Genomic DNA, 21,644 nt, shown 5'->3' on the forward strand with positions numbered 1-21,644 from the left:
TATGTATATATATGTGTGTATATATATAGTATATATGTATATTGTATGTGTATATACCTAACTAAAGCCTCAAGACTTCTGTTGACACCTCAAAGAGGGCTTGAGAGCTGTCCTCTATGCTGAAGACTGCAGAGAGGTGGAGGGTATAGACTTGTTTTCAGTGTTCTTGAGGGGGAAGGCCCAATAGGTGAAAGCTGCAGAGACATCAATTTTGATTCAGCCCAAGGAAAAACTTTCTAGTAGCGAGAATTTCCCCAGGATGCAGCAGGCTCCCTGGGGGAGCCTATGAGCGTGGGCTGGGAGAGGCAACTATGGAGAAGGCTACACTTTAAGTGGTGTAGGGAGGAGTGGGAACTGGATCCCTCTAATGGGGTCTTCTAGTTTTGTGATTGGGGGCTCTTTTACCATAAAAAAAACTATTATTTATTAACCTTCTATGAAGCGCTTATCTCCTTACAAACATGAATTCATTCAACCTCACATTGGCCCTGCAAGGTAGATATTATCCAGTTCATGGATAAGGAAATGAGGCTCAGAGAAGTGGGGTAGCTTGCTCATTAGAAATTGGCATAGAAACATGAGCTGCATCTCACACTAGAACTCCGTAGAATAAACCAGCTGCCCCCACTTTCCTCCAGCAGTTAGGTTCATACAAGTTTTACCCATGTCAGCAGCACAACAGAGTTCATTTGGTTTTGTTTTCATGTTCCTTTACTTCCTCTCCAGTATCTCTACCTTTTTCATGCTGAAAGTTGGCCAGCAGTCCAGACCATCAGATCTAATCTGCTCTGGGGGAGTAGGGGCCTGGCCTGGTTCACAGGCAGTCCCCAGACTGGGTGGTGCCTCCTGAACCCTCTTTATTCCTTCTAGAAGGAATCCACTGTTTACTACCTTGTTCCTGGACCTCTAGACACATTTATAAAGCCACAGAACCTGGGAGGGGTAAGGAGGTTACATGAAGCGTGGCAGCTACAGCTGACAGAAGGTTTCAGAAAGTCCTGTCGCTTCAGTTTCAAGTCTGATGAAAGAAAAAAAAAAAAAAAAAAAAGCTAAGCAAAGCCCAACGAGGCTGCCTGCCAGGAGTCTGTGAAACATGGCCCAGGCCAAAGCCAGTGTCAGCCAAGAGGGAAATTACAGGCCTTAAATGGCAGACAAGTCTGCAAAAGCCTCCTAGAGTTGTGTTTGGCAAATGTTTGTTTGCATACATGTTTGTTTGTGTGGATGTGTTTTTCAGCATGTATTTTTTTTTTTAGTTATGTATTTAGCTCTAAGATCGTTTTTAAAAACAATGTCAAAATTGTACTTTAAAATAATTTATTCCTGGTGAATATTTGGAGCAATTCCATTCAGTTTAGTTCAAGTCAGCAACTATTTACTGACAGTCTATTCCATGCCAGGCACTGAGATTGGCACTGGGCATCCTGGGTTGCTAAAGGGGCTGCCCCATTCTGAGCTAGCTCAGTGGCTGCTGTAGAAAAAAGTCAGCCCAAATGCCCATCAATGATAGACTAGATAAAGAAAATATGGTACATATACACCATGGAATACTATGCAGCCATAAAAAGGAATGAGATTATGTCCTTTGCAGGGACATGGATGAAGCTGGAAGCCATTATCCTCAGCAAACTAACACAGGAACAGAAAACCAAACACCACATGTTCTCACTCATAAGTGGGAGCTGAACAATGAGAACACATGGACACAGGGAGGGGAACAACACACACTGGGGCCTGTTGGGGGAGGGGAGTGGGGAAAGCATTAGAGAAAAGAGCTAATGCATGCTAGGGTTAACACCTAGGTGAAGGGTTGATAGGTACCACAAACCACTGTGATACACATTTACTTATGCAACAAACCTGCACATCCTGCACTTATACCCCAGAACTTAAAAGATAAAAAAATTAAAAAATTAAAGCAAACAACAAACAAACAAACAAAAGTGATAATCAGGTGAGAGAATGAGGAAGAGGAATATTGTTTTCTAAATGAATATAATAGTTGGCTTTATTTTACAGTAAACATGTAGTTTCAAAAATATTAAAAACAAAGCACAGACAACTTGACAAATTACCATTTGTTCCACCACCTAGAATTAACTAATTTTTATATTTGTCATATTTGAATTATACATTTGTATGTGTATAAAAATTTTTAAAGTGTTATTAATAAAGCTGTGGTTCTCCTCCAAGAAAAAAGAGAAAAAGACACATGCATGGAAAAGAATCCCAGAGGACCCTTGGGCCCAGATCATTTCAGTCCGGTGTGGCTGGGACAAAAGAGGGAGAAGCCTTAGTTCTTGGGGGAGAAGGAGTCAAGTAGGACTTTACAGGCATACAAAGGTCTGGAGGGGGCCCTTCCAGGTACAGGAAAGAAACCTAGGGGAGCTCATCTGAAGGTCAGGGATGGATGACTTGCTCAAGGTCCCACAGCTAGAAACTGGCAGCCTGAAGATTTGAACTCAGGTCTGTCACATTCTTCTCCACCCCAGCAAATAAACCTGAAGGTGAAAGCTGTGTGATTTGGCTGGAGGGCTATGTCCAGCCTCTTTAAATCCTTCCCATCCCTTAAGGACTAGCCAACTCTTACAAATTCTCAGTAGGCTAATCTAATATCCACTGCTGAGTTCCTAGAAAATATGTGCCTCAATATTGCTCGTTATCTTTTAATGAAGCTATGCTTTTCTCTTCAACAATATAAATACATATAAACATTTATTTCATTTTTAAAAAATAAAATAAAGATTTGTGGTTTTCCACTCTATGTCATGACAATGTTTGGCAAAAGAGATAGGAAGAATGATAAAACCATCTTCATGGGTAGAAATAATTTTAAATTCTGTTTTACTTCCGTCACACACAGCAGGTACTCAATAAATACTTGCAGTGCTGGCCTGGCTAGGCTGTACTTTTTTATGACAGTGTATTAGTCAGATATTGCCACCATCATGCTGGGTAACAAACCACACGAAACTCAGTTGCTTACAACTACAAGCATTTATTTTTCTCACTGAGAGTTGGCTGGATACCTCAGGTTCAAGGTGCAGGCCCAGGGCTTTGGGTCAGTTTGAGTCTGCTTCTTTTGTCTCATTCTGGGGGCCAGGCTGAAAGAACCTCAGACTTGCCCTTTTCATGGTGGTAAATGAGACATGAGACAGGAGCAGAAGCAAGAGATAAGTAGAAACAGATCAAGCTTCTTGAGGTCTCAGCCCAGAACTGTCATGCTGTTGTTTCCACCCCCATAACTTTGCCCAGGGCAAGTCAATGGTCAAGCCCAATATCACTGCACAGGAAGACACATTTGCCCACTCTAGGGGGAGGCACAGCAAAGTCAGATGGCAAAGGGTATAATTCTAAAAGAAACAGAACATGAAGAACTGAAGAAAGATTCTAGGATTTGAAGGTAGACTTGACTTCAAATCTGAATTATCATTTACCTGCTTTGGAGACTAGAGAAATCGCTTAACCTTTTTGCATCTGTCTCCTCATCTGTTCTTACCTCTCTGGGGTGTAATAAGACTATTTCCCATCCTCACTTACTGAGTGCTGACAATGTACCACTCACTGAGCTTAGCATTTTATGAACATCATCACACATAAGACAGGTAAGGTAGGAATCCATCTCCCATTTAATAGATGAGGAAACTGAGATTGATAGATGTTAAGTGACTTGCCCAAAGTCACACAGCTACATTCGAAGTTTCATGCCAGGTCTGTGTCACCTCTACTTAATGTAAATAAGGCGTGTACACTGTCTGCCACATAGAGGGTCCTTGTTTCAGGTGAATTTCTGTATCTTTCCCTCTTAGAGAGTCCTGGAAACTTCTAGGTCGCTGGACTTTTACTTTCTGATGAACTTCACCCAAGCTGATGTGACCAGCTACCATCACCCAAGTTTCAAAGTTCATTGTTGCTTAAAAAAAATAAGGCTATTATTAGCAGCAATCAGAGGGCAATCACATTTCCCAGTCAGGAGTCTTTGGGAGGAAGGTTGTTTGAAGCAATGCCTGGATGGTGTTTGTGGTGCCACATGTCTGGTGTGGAGGCAAATTTCGTAATGGCCATGCCTGTCAGGTGATGCCGAGACCTCTGCTCAGAACAGATATCTTTCCAGTCGGGAGTGGCTGCTCTGACATCGCTGGGGAAGGACAGCTAGCAGCTGCTCTTTTGCAAGACTTGATTCATACAGCATGGAAGATACTAGTAAGAGCAAGTCTTTAGATAAGAGACCTGATTTAAATCAGGGTTGTGCCTCTGACTGGCTGGGTGGCCTTGGCCCCTGGTGATGCTGTTCCCTCTGCCTGCACACCTCCTCAGGGCCAGCTCTCCACCTTAGTGTCACTTCATCTAGGAGATCTTCCCTGACGTTCTCAAGCTAACACACTGGACACCCCCAGGCTCTGCACTTAGATGATCTTAATTGCTTGTTTAATTGGCTGTCTGCTACAGGATAAGTGTTGTTTGAGAACAAGCCCTGATCAATGTTTGCCACTGAAATCCTACTTCCCAGAATGATGTCTAGTGCATAGTAGGCACTGTAGGAACATTTATTTATCTAATGAATTCAGTAATAAACTACTAAAAGCATACTGTTGATTTGTAACCTTTTGGTGGTGGATCCAATATTGTCTGTGCTATGGAAGCCCCTTGGCTCTAAATCCTTGCTAATCAAAGTGTGGTCCTTGGATGGACCTACATCACCTGAGGGCAGCCCAGTAGTTTTAACTGTGCAGATCCTGAAGAGGTACGGGTACTGCTTGAACAGTATACCATTCATTGAGATGGACAGATGATGATCTATTTGTTAAGAAATAAGTTGTCAAAACCTTGCTAGTGACTAGCTTCAAGAGCATGCCAGATGCCCCATGGTCCCCAGGGTGATTTTTTTTTTTTTTTAACTATCTACCAGGAGAAGGGGATGAGCCAGTGCTTATTGTCTAGTCTCACTTCTGGTCTGTGAGGCAGATATCATCATCTCCACTGTATGCAGGAGGAGGGTGAGGTCCAGAGAGATTAAATCACTTGCCCAAGTTCACACAGTTGGGAAGAGGCAGAGTGGGGATATCCCCTTTACATCAAGCTGACTCTCCCAGGAAAGCTACCCTTTTAACTCTGACAGTAAAACCTCTGCCTTATTCCACATTCTGTCCTTAAATCCTCTTCACACAGGAAAAGCTACATTCTCTGAAGCATGTGAATGGGCCCTTCTGGGTCTTCTACTAAATATATACCCCATGGCTCCCTCCATTCTAGCCATGATGGCCTGATTTCTGTCTCTTGAATACACCAGCTGATGCCTGTCCCAGGACCTTTGCAGTTCCTCCTGCCTGCAGAGTGTCCCCAGATCTCCCCATGGTTGCCTGCTTCTCATCATTCAGGTCTCACTCTGTGTCACCTCTTCAGAGAGACTTTCCCTAAACACTCTAGGGAAAGCAGTCCTCCTCCGCCACCAACAAACATTCATTCTCATTCCCATTTTATTTTTTTTCCACATCACTTAATTTATGCTAAATTACCATGGGCATTCATTCAGATGTCTTTTTTTCTCTCCATTAGAGTGGATGTTCTTTGAGGTCAGAGTTCTTGTCTGGTTTTGGTTTGCACTATTCCCAGGCTAGTGAATTGTAAGGATGATTCTAACACATTCTTGTGTTGAGACGTTTTTGTATCCAGTGGATTTATATCAGGGCTTGCATTGGCTTCTTGTCTTCAGAAGGAGAGCAGACCCTTGTCCAAGTGTCCAATCATGCTTCAGGGTGTCAGAGGGGCTCCGATTAGCTGTTCAGGTGGGGTCTTATCAGGGTGCATGCAATTATCCATGCAATTCCTGACCCCAGAAGGAAGTGATCCTTTTCATCATTTGCACCCTGATAGGACCCCACCCAAACAGCTAATCAGAGCCCCTGTGACATCCTGAAGCATGATTGGACACCTGGACAAGGGGTCGGCTCTCCTGCAGACGAGAAGGCAATGCAAGCCCTGACATAAATCCACTGGATACAGTAATGTCTCAACACAAGAATGTCTTAGAATCATCCATACAATTCACCTGAATTTGCCCTTGAGTCTATGCTTTCTGAGGGGAGGGATAGTATCTACTTTCCTTACTGCCAGCACATGTCATCTGCCTACCTCTTTAGAAGGGAGCATCTGGTAAGTATTTGTTCCTTCTCTGACCTCTCTGGGTCTCAGCTGAGAATGTTAACAATGATAGACATAACTTTTGAATGCCATCGTGTTTTTCTCTGCTTGAGTCAGGTACACAAAGGAAAATAAAATTAAACCAGAAAGGAATGGAGGGAACCCATCTTTTCTTTCTGTTTGAGTATGCCAAAGCCCAGACTTGGGATCTTGACCTGGAGGAAGCCACCCAATTGCTGGACTCAGAATGACCTGATTTCTGCTTTTTATAAATAGGAAGTCCCATTGTCCATTTAGGCCTCACCATTGTTGAACTGCCCTGTTATATCCACACCTACTTCTTCTGTGGAACGTCCAAAGTGATACAGAACTCTGTACAACCCACTGAGTGGGCATGGAACCCAGCTGTACACCTCCATTGCTAGTCTTGAATGAGTTAGCTCATAGAGATGGAATTTGCAAACTAGTCTCTGAACATAGTCTGGCTCCTAACAGACCACCTTTCTAAATGATGTGGAGTTCTGAAGCATTTCTTGGACAGTTTGATCCACGTTGAGTGGAGAGGGACAATGGGTTGGTCCTAGAAGGTACTGAGGGCCCACGCTCTGTGAGACACTTTGTATACATGATCTTTAATTCTCACAATAGCCTTTATTATGCTATGCATTTTACAGATGAGGAAGCTGACGCCCAGAGAAGCTAAGTTACTGCCTCACTGCCTCACAGCTAGTAAGCAGCGAAGCCTAATGCTTGGTCTTCCAGTCCAGACTTAAGTTTAGAGCTGAGGAACTCCAGCTTAGATGCTAAGTGGCTTGGCTGAAAGGCCACATCTCATATCCCCCTGATAAGTGGCAGAACCAGTATCTAAACCCAGATGCTTTATTCCCAAACTCTAAGCTGCCTGTTACCCTACACCACCTTTTCTTTGTAATAATGTGGGACTCAATTTGCCTAAAGTCACGTGGAGAATCAGAGGGAGCTTCAGGACAGGGCCAGCTCTCTTGACTCCTGGTTTAGTGTTTCTTCCTGAGACCACATCACCTGTCTGCCCTATGCACTGACATGGAAAAGCATTTCCAGAGAACGGTCTCAAGGCTGATGCCAGAGGACAAGGCTGATCCCTGAAGACTCAGGCTTCTTTCAAGGCCAGTGGGGTCACCCTACGAAGGCTTTTCACCCTCCTCTAAAGCACTGTTCCTGTGTTTAGTCTGGTCTGCCTCCAGGGGCAAGATGATGGAATGGATAATTGCCCTGGACAGTTTCTGTCACTTGAATGCCAATCTGCCATTGTGTTTTCCCTTTGCCAGAGAGTCTTCATAGCTGGAATAAAACCCATGACATAGGCACTGGAGGAAAAGAGAGATTGTCTACAATTCACACCAAATAATTGAGGGGATGGAGTGACTTCCCTAGGAAGCCAGACTGAATAGTTCCTACAGTCTCTAAAATCAGGGAATTGCAGTCTTGGAATGATGCTTAGCAAGCTGCCTTAGTTCAGCTGCTATAACAAAAATACCATAGGCTAGGTGGCTTATAAACAACAGAAAATTATTTCTCACAGTTCTGAAGGCTGGAAAGTCTAAGACCAAGTTGCCAGCAGACTCAGTGTCTGGTGAGGGCCCACTTCCTGGTTTATGGACCGCCATCTTCTTGCTGTATCCTCACATGATGGAAGGGATAAGGGACCTCTCTGGGGTCTTTTTTATAAGGGCACTAATCCCACTCATGAGGATTATTCCCTCATGAGGGTCATGCCCTCTTGACCTAACTACCTCCCAAAGACCCCACCTCCTGATACCATTACCTTGGAGTTAGGTTTTAACACATGGATTTTGGAGGGACACAGACATTCAGTCTACAGCAAAAGCCTAAGCAATTGCAGCTTAATAGCTAGAGTCAGGTCTGAGTTCCAATATTCTTCTGCCTCTTCCCACTTACTAAATTATACCTGTAAGTATAATAATAATAATACTGACTTCTTAGGATTGTTGTGATTTTTAGCATGAAATAATATATGTGATATGCCTGGCCCAGAGAAGACAAGCAATAAAGAGCAGTGTGTGTGTGTGTGTGTGTGTGTGTGTGTGCGTGTTTGTTTGTGTGTCTTCCTCCTTACCGCTTCACTGTGTGTACAGAGAAACTAGAGCCAGAGACAGAAGTTGTGACATGTACAGACACGTGGGAGTTAACAGCAGAGCCAGGACTTGAAGACTTATCTCCAGTCTCCCAGGCCAGTGTTCTTATTTCACATCATAATAACAAGGTTGCAATTTGTTAAACATGTCCCTAAATTGTGGGCCTCAGAAGCATAAAAAAGACAATTTTCAGAGAGCATAAAGGGAATATATCAAAATGAAATTGTTCTTCAAGCATTCTGGCATCCAGAAAGTACATTTGAGTGGTATTCCTGTATGGTCAGGGCAACAGGAATGTGGCTAGATTTGATTGTTTTCACTCAATAGAGAACTAAACTCAACAGTTTCCTTGTACCCACCTCCACTCCCAAGACCAAAGGATTTTAGCCAGATGTGGTTTGAGAGAAAGTCAAGAGCAGAATATAGGTACACCATGTACAGGCCCTGGAGCCAGCCGGGGCAAGCTTTATCTATGAGATAAGGACTGTGAGTACACCTTGTAGGCTTCAGTCATTTTGTTCTTATTAAAAGGAATATTCCAGAAATGACTTTATTTTTCAAGGCACACAGCTTTTTCACTGGTCTCTGAGAACACTTTAGAGGATGACTGTCTTACAAACCCATGGATAATTTATATCACATCACAATATAAGAATGCAATTTGTTAATCATATTCCCAAATGGATAATTGACATTTGAGAGTCAGGGACAGGGCCACAGAATACTGTGCCTTCTGAACAATCAATGAAAGTGATAAACACAGCTTCTCTTGGCTCATTGACCTTCAAATCTTCCTTCAAATGATGCCTTTTCAGTGTGGTCTTCCCCGGCCTCCCTATCTAAAATTGCAAACCCACAAGCATACCCTATCACCATTCCCTGATTTATTTCTTATCTTCAACAGTTAATATTGCAGGATATGCTATATATTTTACTTACTTTGCTATTGCCTGTGAAACTCCACTATTCATTTAACAAAACTCATGTGCTTTAACTACTTTACAAATATCAGCTCATTCAATCCTCACAATGGCTATAAAAGAGAATACTACTATTGCTCCTTTATATAGATGAGGACACTAAGGCACAGAGAGGTTAGATAGTATGTCCAAGGTCACACAGCTCACAAGTGGCAGAGTTATGACATGATCCCAGGAATCTGCCTCCTGAGTTCTTATTCACACCCACTGTACTGTTCTGCCCATACAATGTGAATTGCACAAGGGCAGGGGTTTACCTGTTTGATTCATTGCTGTATTCTCAGTGCCTAGAATAATACCTGGCATACCATGGTGCCCAATAATTATTTGTTAAATTAAAAAATGAGGGAATGGTTAAACAGAGCTTATTGTATTCCACTTCTTTAAAGCTCTTCATCCACAGATACTACACATAGACAGCCACTCTCCATTAAGCAAATCTCCGGATTATAGGAATCCAGAGGGACAGGTGGAAAGAGCACGGGCTTTGGTGTCAGCAAAAACAGGGGAGTCAAAATCCCAACTCAACAATCACACGTAGTATTACCTGAGCTGTGTGACTGTAACAAATTCACCTCATCTCTTTCAGCCTTGGTTACCTCATCTTTACAATGGAGAAAATAGTGTGTTCCTTGTAGGATCATGTCTTATGGTGAAAGGTAAATGTAGATAAAGGGCCAGCACAGAGCAGGTATCAGTAAATATCAACTCCCTCCTACATTGGGAAGGGATGGAGGGAAGAGAAGTGAACTTCATCTCTTTTGCTGAGCAAGCACTTATTTTTCAGAGTGAATATATCAGGATTAGGGTAGGGGAAAGCAAAGAGGATCAAGAGATGGAAAAATTTCACTTTTCTCCTCTACTACAATTAAGACTGGAACAATGTCAGCCTAAATGAACAATCTATTTCTTTGCATTCCCAGATAAAGTCATATTGACGTCACTCTTTTCTCATCTGTTATCTTATTAAATTTGGTTTCCTATAACATAAAACACTGGCTCTTCTGAAGTAGTTTTCCATATTATTGAGCAGGCAGGGGGATTTCAATCTATCTTCCACCAGAAAACAAAGTCTGCTTTTAATTAGGGAGGACAAAGGTACACATCTCACATTCAAGTTGCCCATTCTTCCTAATTTGTAGGCTTAGCTCTTAAAACTCTAATTATTTGTCTTACTTTTAAGACTGTTTCCTTCTAGTCTTAGTCAGAGATTCTAATGTGAAACTAAGAGTCCCAGGCTCAACAAGTTATTTCTGCTTTCTGGATTTGGTGAGCTCCTTGACATCAGATTTGCACTGGAGACTTCCACAAATGACCACCAGAAAGATGTTTCTCTTTCTGCAGGAGGAGGCCCCAGGTCCTACTGTATGCTCTGTCCTCCTTCTGGGGCCCTTCTGCTGCTCACACGTGAACATTGCATGGCAGCCCCAGTCAATTAATTCTAAATCTCTGAACCAACGCTCAATCTTTGCACATGCTATTCTTTCCTCCTGGAACACCCTTCCCTTACCTCCTCTGAGCACAGAGACCAACTTGATCCTCAAGATTCAATGTGGATCTTCATCTGGGATGACACCTCTGAGGGGCCTCTGAGGTGTTCCTTCCTAGCATATCACCTTTCTTATAATCTCCAAAAGTTCATGCTTTTCTCTGTGAGCTCCTTCAGAGTAGGCACTGTGTCATTCATTTAAGTATGTTTAAGCCTCACATAGGCCTGGTTTATAGCAAGTTCTCAGTGAATGATTTAAAGAGACATGCCAAAATTTAACCTTGATGTTCCAATGAACAGGGAGCGGAGTTCTCAACAGAAAGCAGTAGGATGGGGGGGATGGGGTGTTGACGGTTTCCTGGGGGACCCTTTGGGCTAATCTGATCCAGCCCCCTTTATTCTGAACATGATGAAATGGCAGCTTAGGGACATCCCGGAGGCTGCAAATGTTGTTGGCAGAGCTGAGGTTTTCTGATTCTCAGTCCAGTACTCAGCCATGATATCAGGGTGGCCCTCACCCTCATGAGGCAGCTGCAACAAAGACACAGACGATGGAGTGGGGAAAGCCATCGAGGGACAAGAGACAAACTGGGTTTGAACAGAAATCACTGGAGTGAGGCCTGCTGTCTTGGCAGCAGACTGCCTGGCAGACTGGAGGTTGCTAATGGCAAGAAACCCACAGGGAGGATGATGGGGAAGAGCTCTGGGATGGCAGACTTGAGCTTTGTGGGTCAGACCCATTGGCCTGAGTCAGCACAGGAACCAGGAGAAAGCGACACAAAACCGCCCTCAAATCAAAGGATTCTTACTCTTTGCAGCTGGCCATCTGGCCAGATGTTAAGAAAAGTAGACCTTGCAAAAACTCTCTAGTAAGAGGAAGTGGTTTGAATTTCCTCCTTAAAGGAGGATGCTTCATTTAAATAGAATTCAGTGGAATTAAGTGCAAGAGGGAAGCACACTGAGCCCTCTGCTTGGACCTTGAAATTGACTTCTTGCAGCAAAGAAGGATCCAGAAATGACTTCCCAGGGAACTAGAGGATGATTTTTACCAAAGGATCTCAACTAGGGTAGGAATGGATATAACGGAACATGCTTCCACCTATTGAGCACCTGTTCTGTGCTGGATGCTTAACTCAGTTAGTCCTTCTGACATTCTCACCAAATCCCAGTAGAAACTCAGGCCCTCGGAAGGTAAGTGATTTACCTTACAAAGAACACACAGCCAGGCAGATCTAGCCCTGAGATGAACTCCACCAGACTGCTGTATGAAAGTTTGCTCCCAAAGCCAGCCAACGCTCTTAGAACTCTCCGGGCCTCAGTCTAAGGGAGCTTCTCTTATCTGTGAGCTAACACTCACCAGCCTGTCCCCTCCTCTGCTTTGCAAAGCTCAGTTTTGCACAGCTAACTTCTTTAGTAGCTTAGAGAGATCAGACCATAAGTGCCCTGAGAAAAGGAGCTGGTTCCATTTATCTCTGTCTTCTTGGTACCAACTCAGGCAAGTGCAAGGGATCACAGAGATGTTTGGAAAATAATGCCTTCTCCTGTACCAGGGTCTTTCTGAGTAGTAGCTCATCTTACTCTTACACCAAATCAATGGGGTAGGTGATGTCATCTCCATGTTTGAGATGGGGAAACTGAGACCCTTGAAGGGATTGATTTTCTTCAGTATGTTGTTTGATTGCCTTTTAAAAATAAAGGTATTTTCTGAGCATGATGTAGTTAAGATATTTTATGATGCTTTTGTGCAAAAGTGTCAGGTTTATGTGTTTTTCTAAATCAAATAAATCTGGCTTGCCACCTCCACCCCCAATTTGGTAGGAAATTCTATCTGTTATATGGGGTAGGGGTTGCCCCAAATCCTGGGGACTTACGAGGAATGGAGTTTAAGATAAGGGTCTGTCTTTAGTCTTCAGCATAAAGATGTCCCAACTATAAGGGTGACATTAACAAGCTTATACTTCTGAATCCTTCATTGCACAGGCTTCTTCCGAGGGGGATCCTAGCAATGTGTCCATGCTGTCAGATATTATTATAAAATTTGCCAAAATAGAATATTTTAGTCTCTAAGAGTGAAGATTGCCATCTCCTTCCACTCCCACATTGTCTCCATCACACTTCCCCTCCTGCTGAGTAACGGAGTGGCCATAGGCATTTTGTATTTGTAATTGTTTTCTGAAAGAAAGCTCTCCAAATTGTATATGCTTCAATATCCTGGCCACTGAGATAGACATTAAAGCCTTAAGCAATAAAAAGGAAAAAAAAATCCATGCTGGGTATGCTGGCTCATGCCTGTAATCCCAGCAATTTGGGTGTAAAATGTTTAAACTGCTTAGAGCCATGGGAGGCCAAAGGGGGTGGATCACCTGAGGTCAGGAGTTTGAGACCAGCCTGGCCAACACAGTGAAACCTCGTCTCTACTACAAGTACAAAAATTAGCCGGGTGTGGCAGTGTGTGCCTATAGTCCCAGCTACTCGGGAGGCTGAAGCAGGAGAATCGCTTGAACCCAGGTGGCGGAGGTTGCAGTGAGTAGAGATTGTGCCACTGCACTCTAGCCTGGGCTACAAAGTGAAACTTTGTCAAAAAAAAGAAGAAAGAAAGAAAGAAAGAAAGAAAGAAAGAAAGAAAGAAAGAAAGAAAGAAAGAAAGAAAGAAAGAAAGAAAGAAAGAAAGAAAGAAAGAAAGAAAGAAAGAAAGAAAGAAAGAAAGAAAGAAAGAAAGAAAGAAAGAAAGAAAGAAAGAAAGAAAGAAAGAAAGAAAAAAACAGAAAAGAAAAGAACAAAAAAGAAAAAGAAAAAGAAAAAAAATCCAAATTCCCAAAACAATAATAACACATGGTGACCCTGAATTCTTATACATTGGCTCACCTAGAGAATTTTCTTTAGGATAACAGATTCTCTTTATTAAAATATATCTGTCCTATATTCAAAAGTCTGTAGCCAAGGGGGATTGTATGAGAATGGAGAGTCTACATCTACTCCTGCTGTGCTGTGCTGTGCCCCATTTAAAGGGGACAGTTCTCCTAGCCCTCCTGCTGTGCTAGTCAAAGGCCAAGGGCAGCTTTCCCTGTAACTGCTAGAACCACAACTCTGCATGTGAAGTCTTTTGGCTTTTTCTTCTGCTTTTCCAGAGGTTCTGCCCCTCCTGGGTTGGGATGCTCTATGGTAGTAGGATGCAGCTCCCCATCTTTGGAAACAGCAGCCACTGTAGTTTATTTTGCCATCTTGGAGAATCCCTGCCAGATACGGGCCATTCCACCTTTTCAACCTTAGCACCAGTCTTGGCCTACCCTTCTCCTTCTGGAATAATGGATCTCTCTTTAAGCAGAGTAATAAGGGAGAGGATATGTAAGCATTGTTCAGACCGTCAGAAAGACAAGAGTGTCCTCCTTCTCTTGGAGAGTTTGAAAAGGACATTCTTGCCATGGAATATAAGCAAGCAGACCAAAAACTAAACATATAAGCCAACGGCACAAAAACACCATTCCTTTTTTAAAAAAAAATTTATTTTAAGTCCCGGGACACATGTGCAGGACATGCAGGTTTGTTACATAGGTAAACATGTGTCATGGTGGTTTGCTGCACCTATCAACCCATCACCTAGACATTAAGCCCCGCATGCATTAGCTATTTATCCTGATGCTCTTCTTCCTCCAAACCCCTGACAGGCCCCAATGTGTGTTGTTCCGCTCCCTGTGTTCATGTGTTTTCATTGTTCAGCTCTCATTCATGAGTGAGAACACGTGGACACCATTCCTTTTTAAAAAATCACCTGTCTTGGTATCAATCTTACTGGGAGCTTAAAGACACCACTTTACAAAGACATTGAGAGGTTTGTGTTAGGGTCATCGTTTTACCTGTGAGTTTAGCAGAGGATGCTGAGGCTAGAAAGAAAACACCCAAGGAGAAGGGCACACAGCTGGAGGGGAGTGTGCTGCTGCTCTGCCCAGATGCGTCTGACTCCACTACCCAGGAGTTTCCTTTCCCCACACTGGGAAGCATTGTTCGTAGATGAACAGCCTTCCTGGAAGAGGTGACACTTGAGCTAAGTCTTAAAGAACAGAAGGCTTTCTGCTGGGTAACAGTGGTGGGAAGGCCATGATTGAAAAGGGTTAAAAAGTGTAGATGCTTTTGTAAACACAGCCAGGCAACAGGGTCAAGCAACAGGGGTGAGGCCAGTGGTGAAACAGCAGACGTGGTGGATGTGGTTGTTTTTAGTCTCTTGGATGAAGTTCAAAGCAAAAGTCCCTGATATCCCCTGGAGAGAGAACATCCAGGTTGTGTTCCTGCCCAGAGCCGAGTAAACAGGATTATTGGAACCTGCTGTGGCCTCAGCTGGACACACTGGCTGCAGCCTGGCTGGCGCAGAGGGAGAGAGTGACAGGAAAATGGCTGAGATTAGGAACCGCCCTTGCCTCTGGACTTGGGTCTCTGAGGAAATGCCTCTGTTGGGATAACCTGTCTTGGGCACTTGGAATCTGTATTTCAGGTCAGAAAATATGCATAGCCTTTGACCCACCAATTCCACTTCTAGGAATACAAGAAGGAGAAATAGTTGCTGATGTGTGAAAAGATATATGTACAAGGATGTTCAACGTAGTATTGTTGATAATAAAAAAAAATTGGAAGCAACTTAAATATCTCAGGAAACTTATAGTACATCTATATGACAGAAAAATTTTAGCCCTTAATAATCATGTGGTAAAAGACTATTCGTTGATATGAAATATTTAGAATATTTTGCCAAGTTAAAAAAAGGTTATAAGACAGTATGCACCACCTGCTCTCAATTATGTAACTATTTATCATGATGACATTTACTGAACACTTGCCATGTGCCAGCCGTGGCTCTAAGCAGTTTAAACATATTTGATTGTGCAACAAGTTTATGAAGAAGATTTCTTATTATCTCTATTTTACACATAAGGAGACTGAGACACAGAGTGTTTAAGTAATTTGTCTAAAATCACAGCAGTAAGTGGCAAAACCTGCACGTGAACAAAGCATTCTAGCTCCAGAGCCCAAATGCAAACAACTAAGTTGCCATACTCTCTTCCTATGTGTGTCCACGTTTCTGTGGTTTCTTTGATTTTCTTTCTCTTTCTTGGAGACTTTACACCCAAACGTTAGCTGTGTGTTAAGTAATCCCCTTGTAGGGCAAGAGCAGATAAATATTTTCATGATGGAAGTGAATGTTGCAGCCAGTATAGGCTCCAAAGGACATTTACACCTTGACTACAGAGAACACACTGCATGCCACTTAAGATCTTGTACAGGACAGACACAAGCAGTTCCCCAATTCACTTATTCAGCAAAATAATGATTAAGTGCCAGTTCTGCACAGGCTCTGTTCTAGGCTCTGAAGATTCAGCAGTAAGGCAAGGGACACAAGGCCAATTCTCCAATAAGACTTCCATCCTCATGGGGGAAGCAGGGAGGTAACCAGTAAATAAAGAGCCAAGAAAAATATTAGCTGGAGTTCAGTGTTCTGTAGAGTACTACAATTGGAATGGTGCCATAGGGTGGGATCATGGGCTTAGGAAGATGACCTTTAAGAGGAGACATTTGAGCTAAAACTTGAATGACCAGCAGTAGAGACACACACATACACACACACACACACACACACACACACACACGGGGTGGCAGGGAAGCAAATCCAGCAAAATGTTGACATTTGGGAAATCTGGATGAAGGGTACAACACAATTTTTTATATAAGTGTTGTAACATTTCCATAAGTCAAATAATTTTGGAATACAAAGTTAAAATATGTCAAAATAAATATATTACAAATACAAACAATCACTCTACATCTAAGGAAATAGAGTTGGTAGAGCTTGCTGGTGAATGCCATGTGGTGGGTGAAGAAATCAAGAGGAAGTAGATGATGCTGGCGCCTTTGACTAAAGTAGGGTGAGGCTGAGGTATGAGGTATGGGGAGAAAAAGCAAACATCCTTTTCTTTGACCCAATAGTCAGTTTGCAAACTACCATACACTTATCTTCTCAGTGGGTCTTCTCCTTTTTTTTAGAGATGGAGTCTTGCTCTGTTGCCCAGGCTGGAGTGCAATCTCGGCTCACTGCAACCTCCGTCTCCCGGGTTCACGTCTTCTCCTGCCTCAGCCTCCAGAGTAGCTGGGACTATGCCCGGCTAATTTTTTGTATTTTTAGTAGAGATGGGGTTTCACCGTGTTAGCCAGGATGGTCTCGATCTCCTGACCTCGAGATCCTCCCACCTCGCCCTCCCAAAGTGCTGGGATTACAGGCGTGAGCCACTGCGCCTGGCCAGTGGGTCTTCTCTTACCCTCCTTTGAATCAGGTAGGATTTTTTACTGATGAAGAAACTGAGACCAAGAGTGGGGAAATGATTGTATGTGGTGTCATGGTGACTGAGTAGCAGAGTTAGGTGCCAAAGTCAGATCTTCTGAATCCATGAAACTAACAATCCCCAAGGCTAAGTGACAGGAGATACATCATGTATATTTTCCGCTGCTCTAAAGTAGAATAAATGTTGAATAGGCTGGGCAATAATTGGCCCGTGGAAGACGCAGGTAACTCAATCTGACTATGTTGTAGAGGGTTGGTTGTAACACTCTCTTTCTTAGAAACTATCAAGGATTCCCAGTAACCCATGAACCATTTTAGTTCCCAAGAGATAGTACAATGCTGTAGACTGCAACTTGACTTACTGTGATGCTAAGTTATTATTCCATTTTTATTATTTTATAATTATTATTAAAAATAGAGGTAAACCACCTACTCCTCTCAAAAGGTAGTTAGGAGAATCAGCATCCAAAGGAAATACTGCAAATGAAAGGGTTTGTGGTCTTCAACACTCGGTTAGACGAGCTCCTGTTGGGGTCTTAGGGTCATGTTCATTATCTCTGAGTACATTGCAAGTGCTTCAGGTTGCCTTTGGAGGTCACTCCTGTGACTGGCTCAGCTTCTGCCAATTTGGAGACCAATTTAAAATTCCAAGACATCAACAAAACAAACCCAGGATCTTAGAGAAAGGGAGTATCAACTAACACTAAAGTAGTACCTGCTAAGTGCAATTTAGTGACATTTATCACTAAGTAGCACCATTTGACCCCCCACTCCAACAGCCTCTTGAGGGAGCCCCATTAACTCAGTTTTAAAAGAGGAGGAAACTAAGACTTGAAGTATTAAGCAATGTGGTCCCATGCTAGCAGTGAGCCTACAATGTCTAAGCCAGAGCTTGCACCCCTTTCATGGCACTACATGGCCAAATAGGCCCTTTCTGGTCCCAGAGATGAAGGTTAACCAATGTGCAAAAATAAGTTGCCTTGGAATCCACCCTGCTTACAGGTCCTCATTACCCTAAATCAATGATCTGCACGATTTCATTGGGATGGTATGTGTGCTTGATTTATATTGGCACAGATCAAGCCATAAATTGTGCCTATGGACCCATCAAAGTCTTTTCTCACATTGAAGATGTTTATAGAAACAGGAAACATGGCCTTTGCATGAACATACTGGTCCTCTCTATGTCAACGTCATCATAAATAGACGTATCCAGGATCTCTGCCTGGACTGTTTTCCATAGATACTCAGCAAACCCATGAGCTAGGTCGTTATTACCAAGGAGGAACAAAGAGACCCTCCCTTGTTCCTAGAACTTATCCTGACAAGAGGCCCTCTTGAGTGAAGACCAGAAAAAATGCCATGGCCCACATTCCACCCCTCTCTGTTGTTAGCAGCAGTGCCTGGTCCTTTAAGATGTCCCCCCATTCTTACAGCTTTGAACTTCAGGCTCCTAACCTGGGAATCCAGAGTTGTAGAGCTATTCTTTGCTTCTTGTAAAATGAATCTACTCTGTGGACTCAAAACACCTTCAGTCTTACTGTTCTTCCCAGTTTGCAAAGCTGTCCCACCCTTTATCACAATGGACTCTGGCAAGACTCTATAAGGGGGGCTGTTGTCAGTATCTCATTTTGCAGATGAAAAGAATGAGGCAGAGAGAGAGACAGAAGGGTCTATTACTCGACTTTGAATTTCTCACACAGCTGGCATTAAATTCCTCTTCTCAAGAAACTTACAAGTAGTTGTAGATTATTATCACCAGAGCTGTCAATATCTGTATCTGCAAGAAACTGCCAGAAAACAGCCAGTATACCTGTAAAGGGTTCAAGCTAAATAGAATTTATAAAGACACTATTACAGAGATATAGGCAGAGTTAGGGACTGGCACCCAGGAACTCACAATAGCAGGGAGCCGTTAGCACCTGCGATGGGCTGAATCATGTTCCTCCGAGACTCACAAGTTGAAGCCCTATCCCCCAGTACCTGATAATGTGACTGTATTTGGAGATAAGGTCTCCATATGATAATTAAATTAAAATGAGGTCATTAATGTGGGCCCTAATTCAGTATGACTGGTGTTCTTATAAGAAGAAGAAATGTGGACACAGATATGTAGAGAGGAAAGACTATGTGAGGACACAGAGAGAAGATAGAGGCCTCAGAAGAAACCAATCCTGTCAACATCTTGAGCTCAGATTTCCAGCCTCCAGGGCTGTGAGAAAATAAATTTCTATTGTTTATGCACCCAGCCTGTGATATTTTGTTATGGCAGCCCTAGTAAACGAACACATTCCCTTCTAATCTTGAAAGTCAGAGAGAGGAATTAATGGCTCACCCCTCTCCTCCCAGCCTCTGATCTCCTGCTAAGGCTTCCCATGGGCTGAACCCAACTGAAAACCAGATAAGGGTACAATTAGGATAGGATCACAGCAAGAGCTCTGGATAAGGGCTAAGCAGATTCTTTCATTCATTCAACAAATATTCATCAAATACCTGGTGCAATTGTACCAGGAGCTATTCTGGATGCTGTGGATATAAAGATAAATAAGATAGAGTCCCTTGTCTTCAATGGTCACAGTGTGACATAGAAGGAAGATTCTGCTATGTGTTCTACTATGTAAGTGCCCCACTGTACAATGTAGATTACATGCTGATAATTGCTGTTTGAGCATGATGCTATGACTGCAAAGAGGAGGGGTTACTCACTCAGTCAGGGTGGCAGGAAGACGGCCACAGAGGAAGTACACTCTAGTTGCCCCTTGAAGGATGTGCTAGATTTTACGGAGAGATGGAGGGGAAGGTCATGCTGGGTGGAAGGACATGCAAAGACCCAGGGATGTGTAAAGTGAGGAATCCCTTTGGAAAGAGAGGCTGAAAGATAGACGTAAACCCTATGTAGTTAAAATCACTTCCTAACTGTGCCACCTCACAATGCTATGCTGTCTGTGTTTGGGGCACTAATTTATACCTGTTGGCCACATGGTTCAGTGGCAAGAACAGGGTTCTAGAGCCTTGGGCTCAAAGTCCATTGCCAGCAACTGTTCACCATGTGTGGCTTAGGCAAGACACTCAACCTTTCTGAGCCTTTGTTTTCTCTCTGGTCAATTAATCAGCCAGCATTATTGTGTGTCTTCTCTGTTCCAAGCCTCAAAGCTATAGAGATGCTTGGTGCTGCCCTTGGGAACCTATAGTGGCGGAGGAGGCAGACTCTACACTGAGCCCCTCTGTGCATATGGAGTGGCTTCCAGGGCTGGGCTCAAAGTGCTCTGGGAACACACAGGTTAACGCACTTCCTCCATACTTCCCAGGGATTTGGAGGGAGTTTGGAGAAATAACAAAACAGGAAATGCTTGTAAGCTGCTTCTATTATTGGGTGGCAGTCATGGTTGCTGACATTTAGGTGAGGGTTGTTTCGTTTAGGCATTCTCATTGCACTCCTTCATCATCCCTGCCTTTGCACCTTGGCTCACACTATGTCCACTTTATACTTCTCTGACTGTGTAAATCCTATCCATCTTCATGGTCAAGGTCCAGACCCAACTTCTCCAGGAATCTTGTCCAGAGCATCGCAGGCCATAGAAATAACACCCTCCTCTTAACTCTGCTACATTTGCAGGCTCATTAGGCATTTATGCATTAGTAAAAGACAGTTTTGTGCCATTCCAAGAGTGGTCTAAAAACTATCTGGATCAGAGAATTCTGGAGCTGGATGAGACCTTAAAAGGCCATCATCAAGCCTCTAGTCTTATTCCAAGCTAGTACACATGGCAACTAGAGTGAGCATCCTATAATACAGATTGGAGCATATGTCTCTCCTACTTTAAACAAGGTGACTCTGCAATTGATTGCCCAAATGGGGATACTTTCGAGGGTGAAAGGCAATGCTGTTATTATAATGCTTGGACAACAGTCCTAAACTAGGATGACACCAAGGGCTAAACTAGGATAACACTAAAATTTGGGCACATAGTCCCTGTGTGACCTGCTGACCTCTCCTGTACTCCAGCCAACCTACAGTTTCCCAGCATCTGATGGACAACTACTAGTTAACCAAATGTTCCTTGCTTGTTCTGGCCACTGTGCCTGGGACATGCTGTTCCCTTTGCCTGAAATGCCATCCTCCTCACTCCATCCATTTCATCCTTAAGTCTCAGGCTAAGGGTTGCCTCCTATGTGAAGCCTTCTGACCCCTGGGCAGAGGCATCTGCTTCCAACATATTTTGTTAGGTCTCCTAGCATGTGGCATAGTTACCTATGAGCCAGTCAGCTGCCACCACTGGACTTGGAGCCCTCAGAGGCTGTGTCTCATTATGGTTGTCTCCCTCATCGCTTGTCCAGGGTCTACATCTGACCCACTGTAAACACTAAGTATTTTTTCATTAATAATAATGACAAATGAAATATGAGATTATGACACATGAGATAGTGCACCTTTGCATTTCTTGTTCTGGATTGTCACTTCTTTCTTTTCCTATTGAACTTCGGGTATGTAGGTCAGACACCCAGTGAGGGCAAACTTCTCAAGCATATCACATTGTGAAGACTAAGGCTTATTCCAGGGAAGCTGCTATGGCTCC

The 21,644-nt window shown here is 43.2% G+C and overlaps 4 annotated features.

Moving 5' to 3' along the window:
- Positions 804 to 963: an enhancer, noted in NCBI's record as "active region_1094". NCBI's record gives its function as "activates an Ori minimal core promoter by ATAC-STARR-seq in GM12878 lymphoblastoid cells {active_cell/tissue: GM12878}" and the evidence as "EXISTENCE:reporter gene assay evidence [ECO:0000049][PMID:35858748]".
- Positions 13,491 to 14,035: an enhancer, noted in NCBI's record as "NANOG hESC enhancer chr1:59446941-59447485 (GRCh37/hg19 assembly coordinates)". NCBI's record gives its function as "activates a minimal SCP1, AML or CMV promoter by ChIP-STARR-seq in naive H9 embryonic stem cells {active_cell/tissue: H9 hESC(naive)}" and the evidence as "EXISTENCE:reporter gene assay evidence [ECO:0000049][PMID:30033119]".
- Positions 14,570 to 15,070: an enhancer, noted in NCBI's record as "NANOG-H3K4me1 hESC enhancer chr1:59448020-59448520 (GRCh37/hg19 assembly coordinates)". NCBI's record gives its function as "activates a minimal SCP1, AML or CMV promoter by ChIP-STARR-seq in naive H9 embryonic stem cells {active_cell/tissue: H9 hESC(naive)}" and the evidence as "EXISTENCE:reporter gene assay evidence [ECO:0000049][PMID:30033119]".
- Positions 15,071 to 15,571: an enhancer, noted in NCBI's record as "NANOG-H3K4me1 hESC enhancer chr1:59448521-59449021 (GRCh37/hg19 assembly coordinates)". NCBI's record gives its function as "activates a minimal SCP1, AML or CMV promoter by ChIP-STARR-seq in naive and primed H9 embryonic stem cells {active_cell/tissue: H9 hESC(naive and primed)}" and the evidence as "EXISTENCE:reporter gene assay evidence [ECO:0000049][PMID:30033119]".

This window comes from Homo sapiens, chromosome 1, assembly GCF_000001405.40.
Source record: "Homo sapiens chromosome 1, GRCh38.p14 Primary Assembly".
Lineage (NCBI taxonomy): Eukaryota > Metazoa > Chordata > Mammalia > Primates > Hominidae > Homo > Homo sapiens.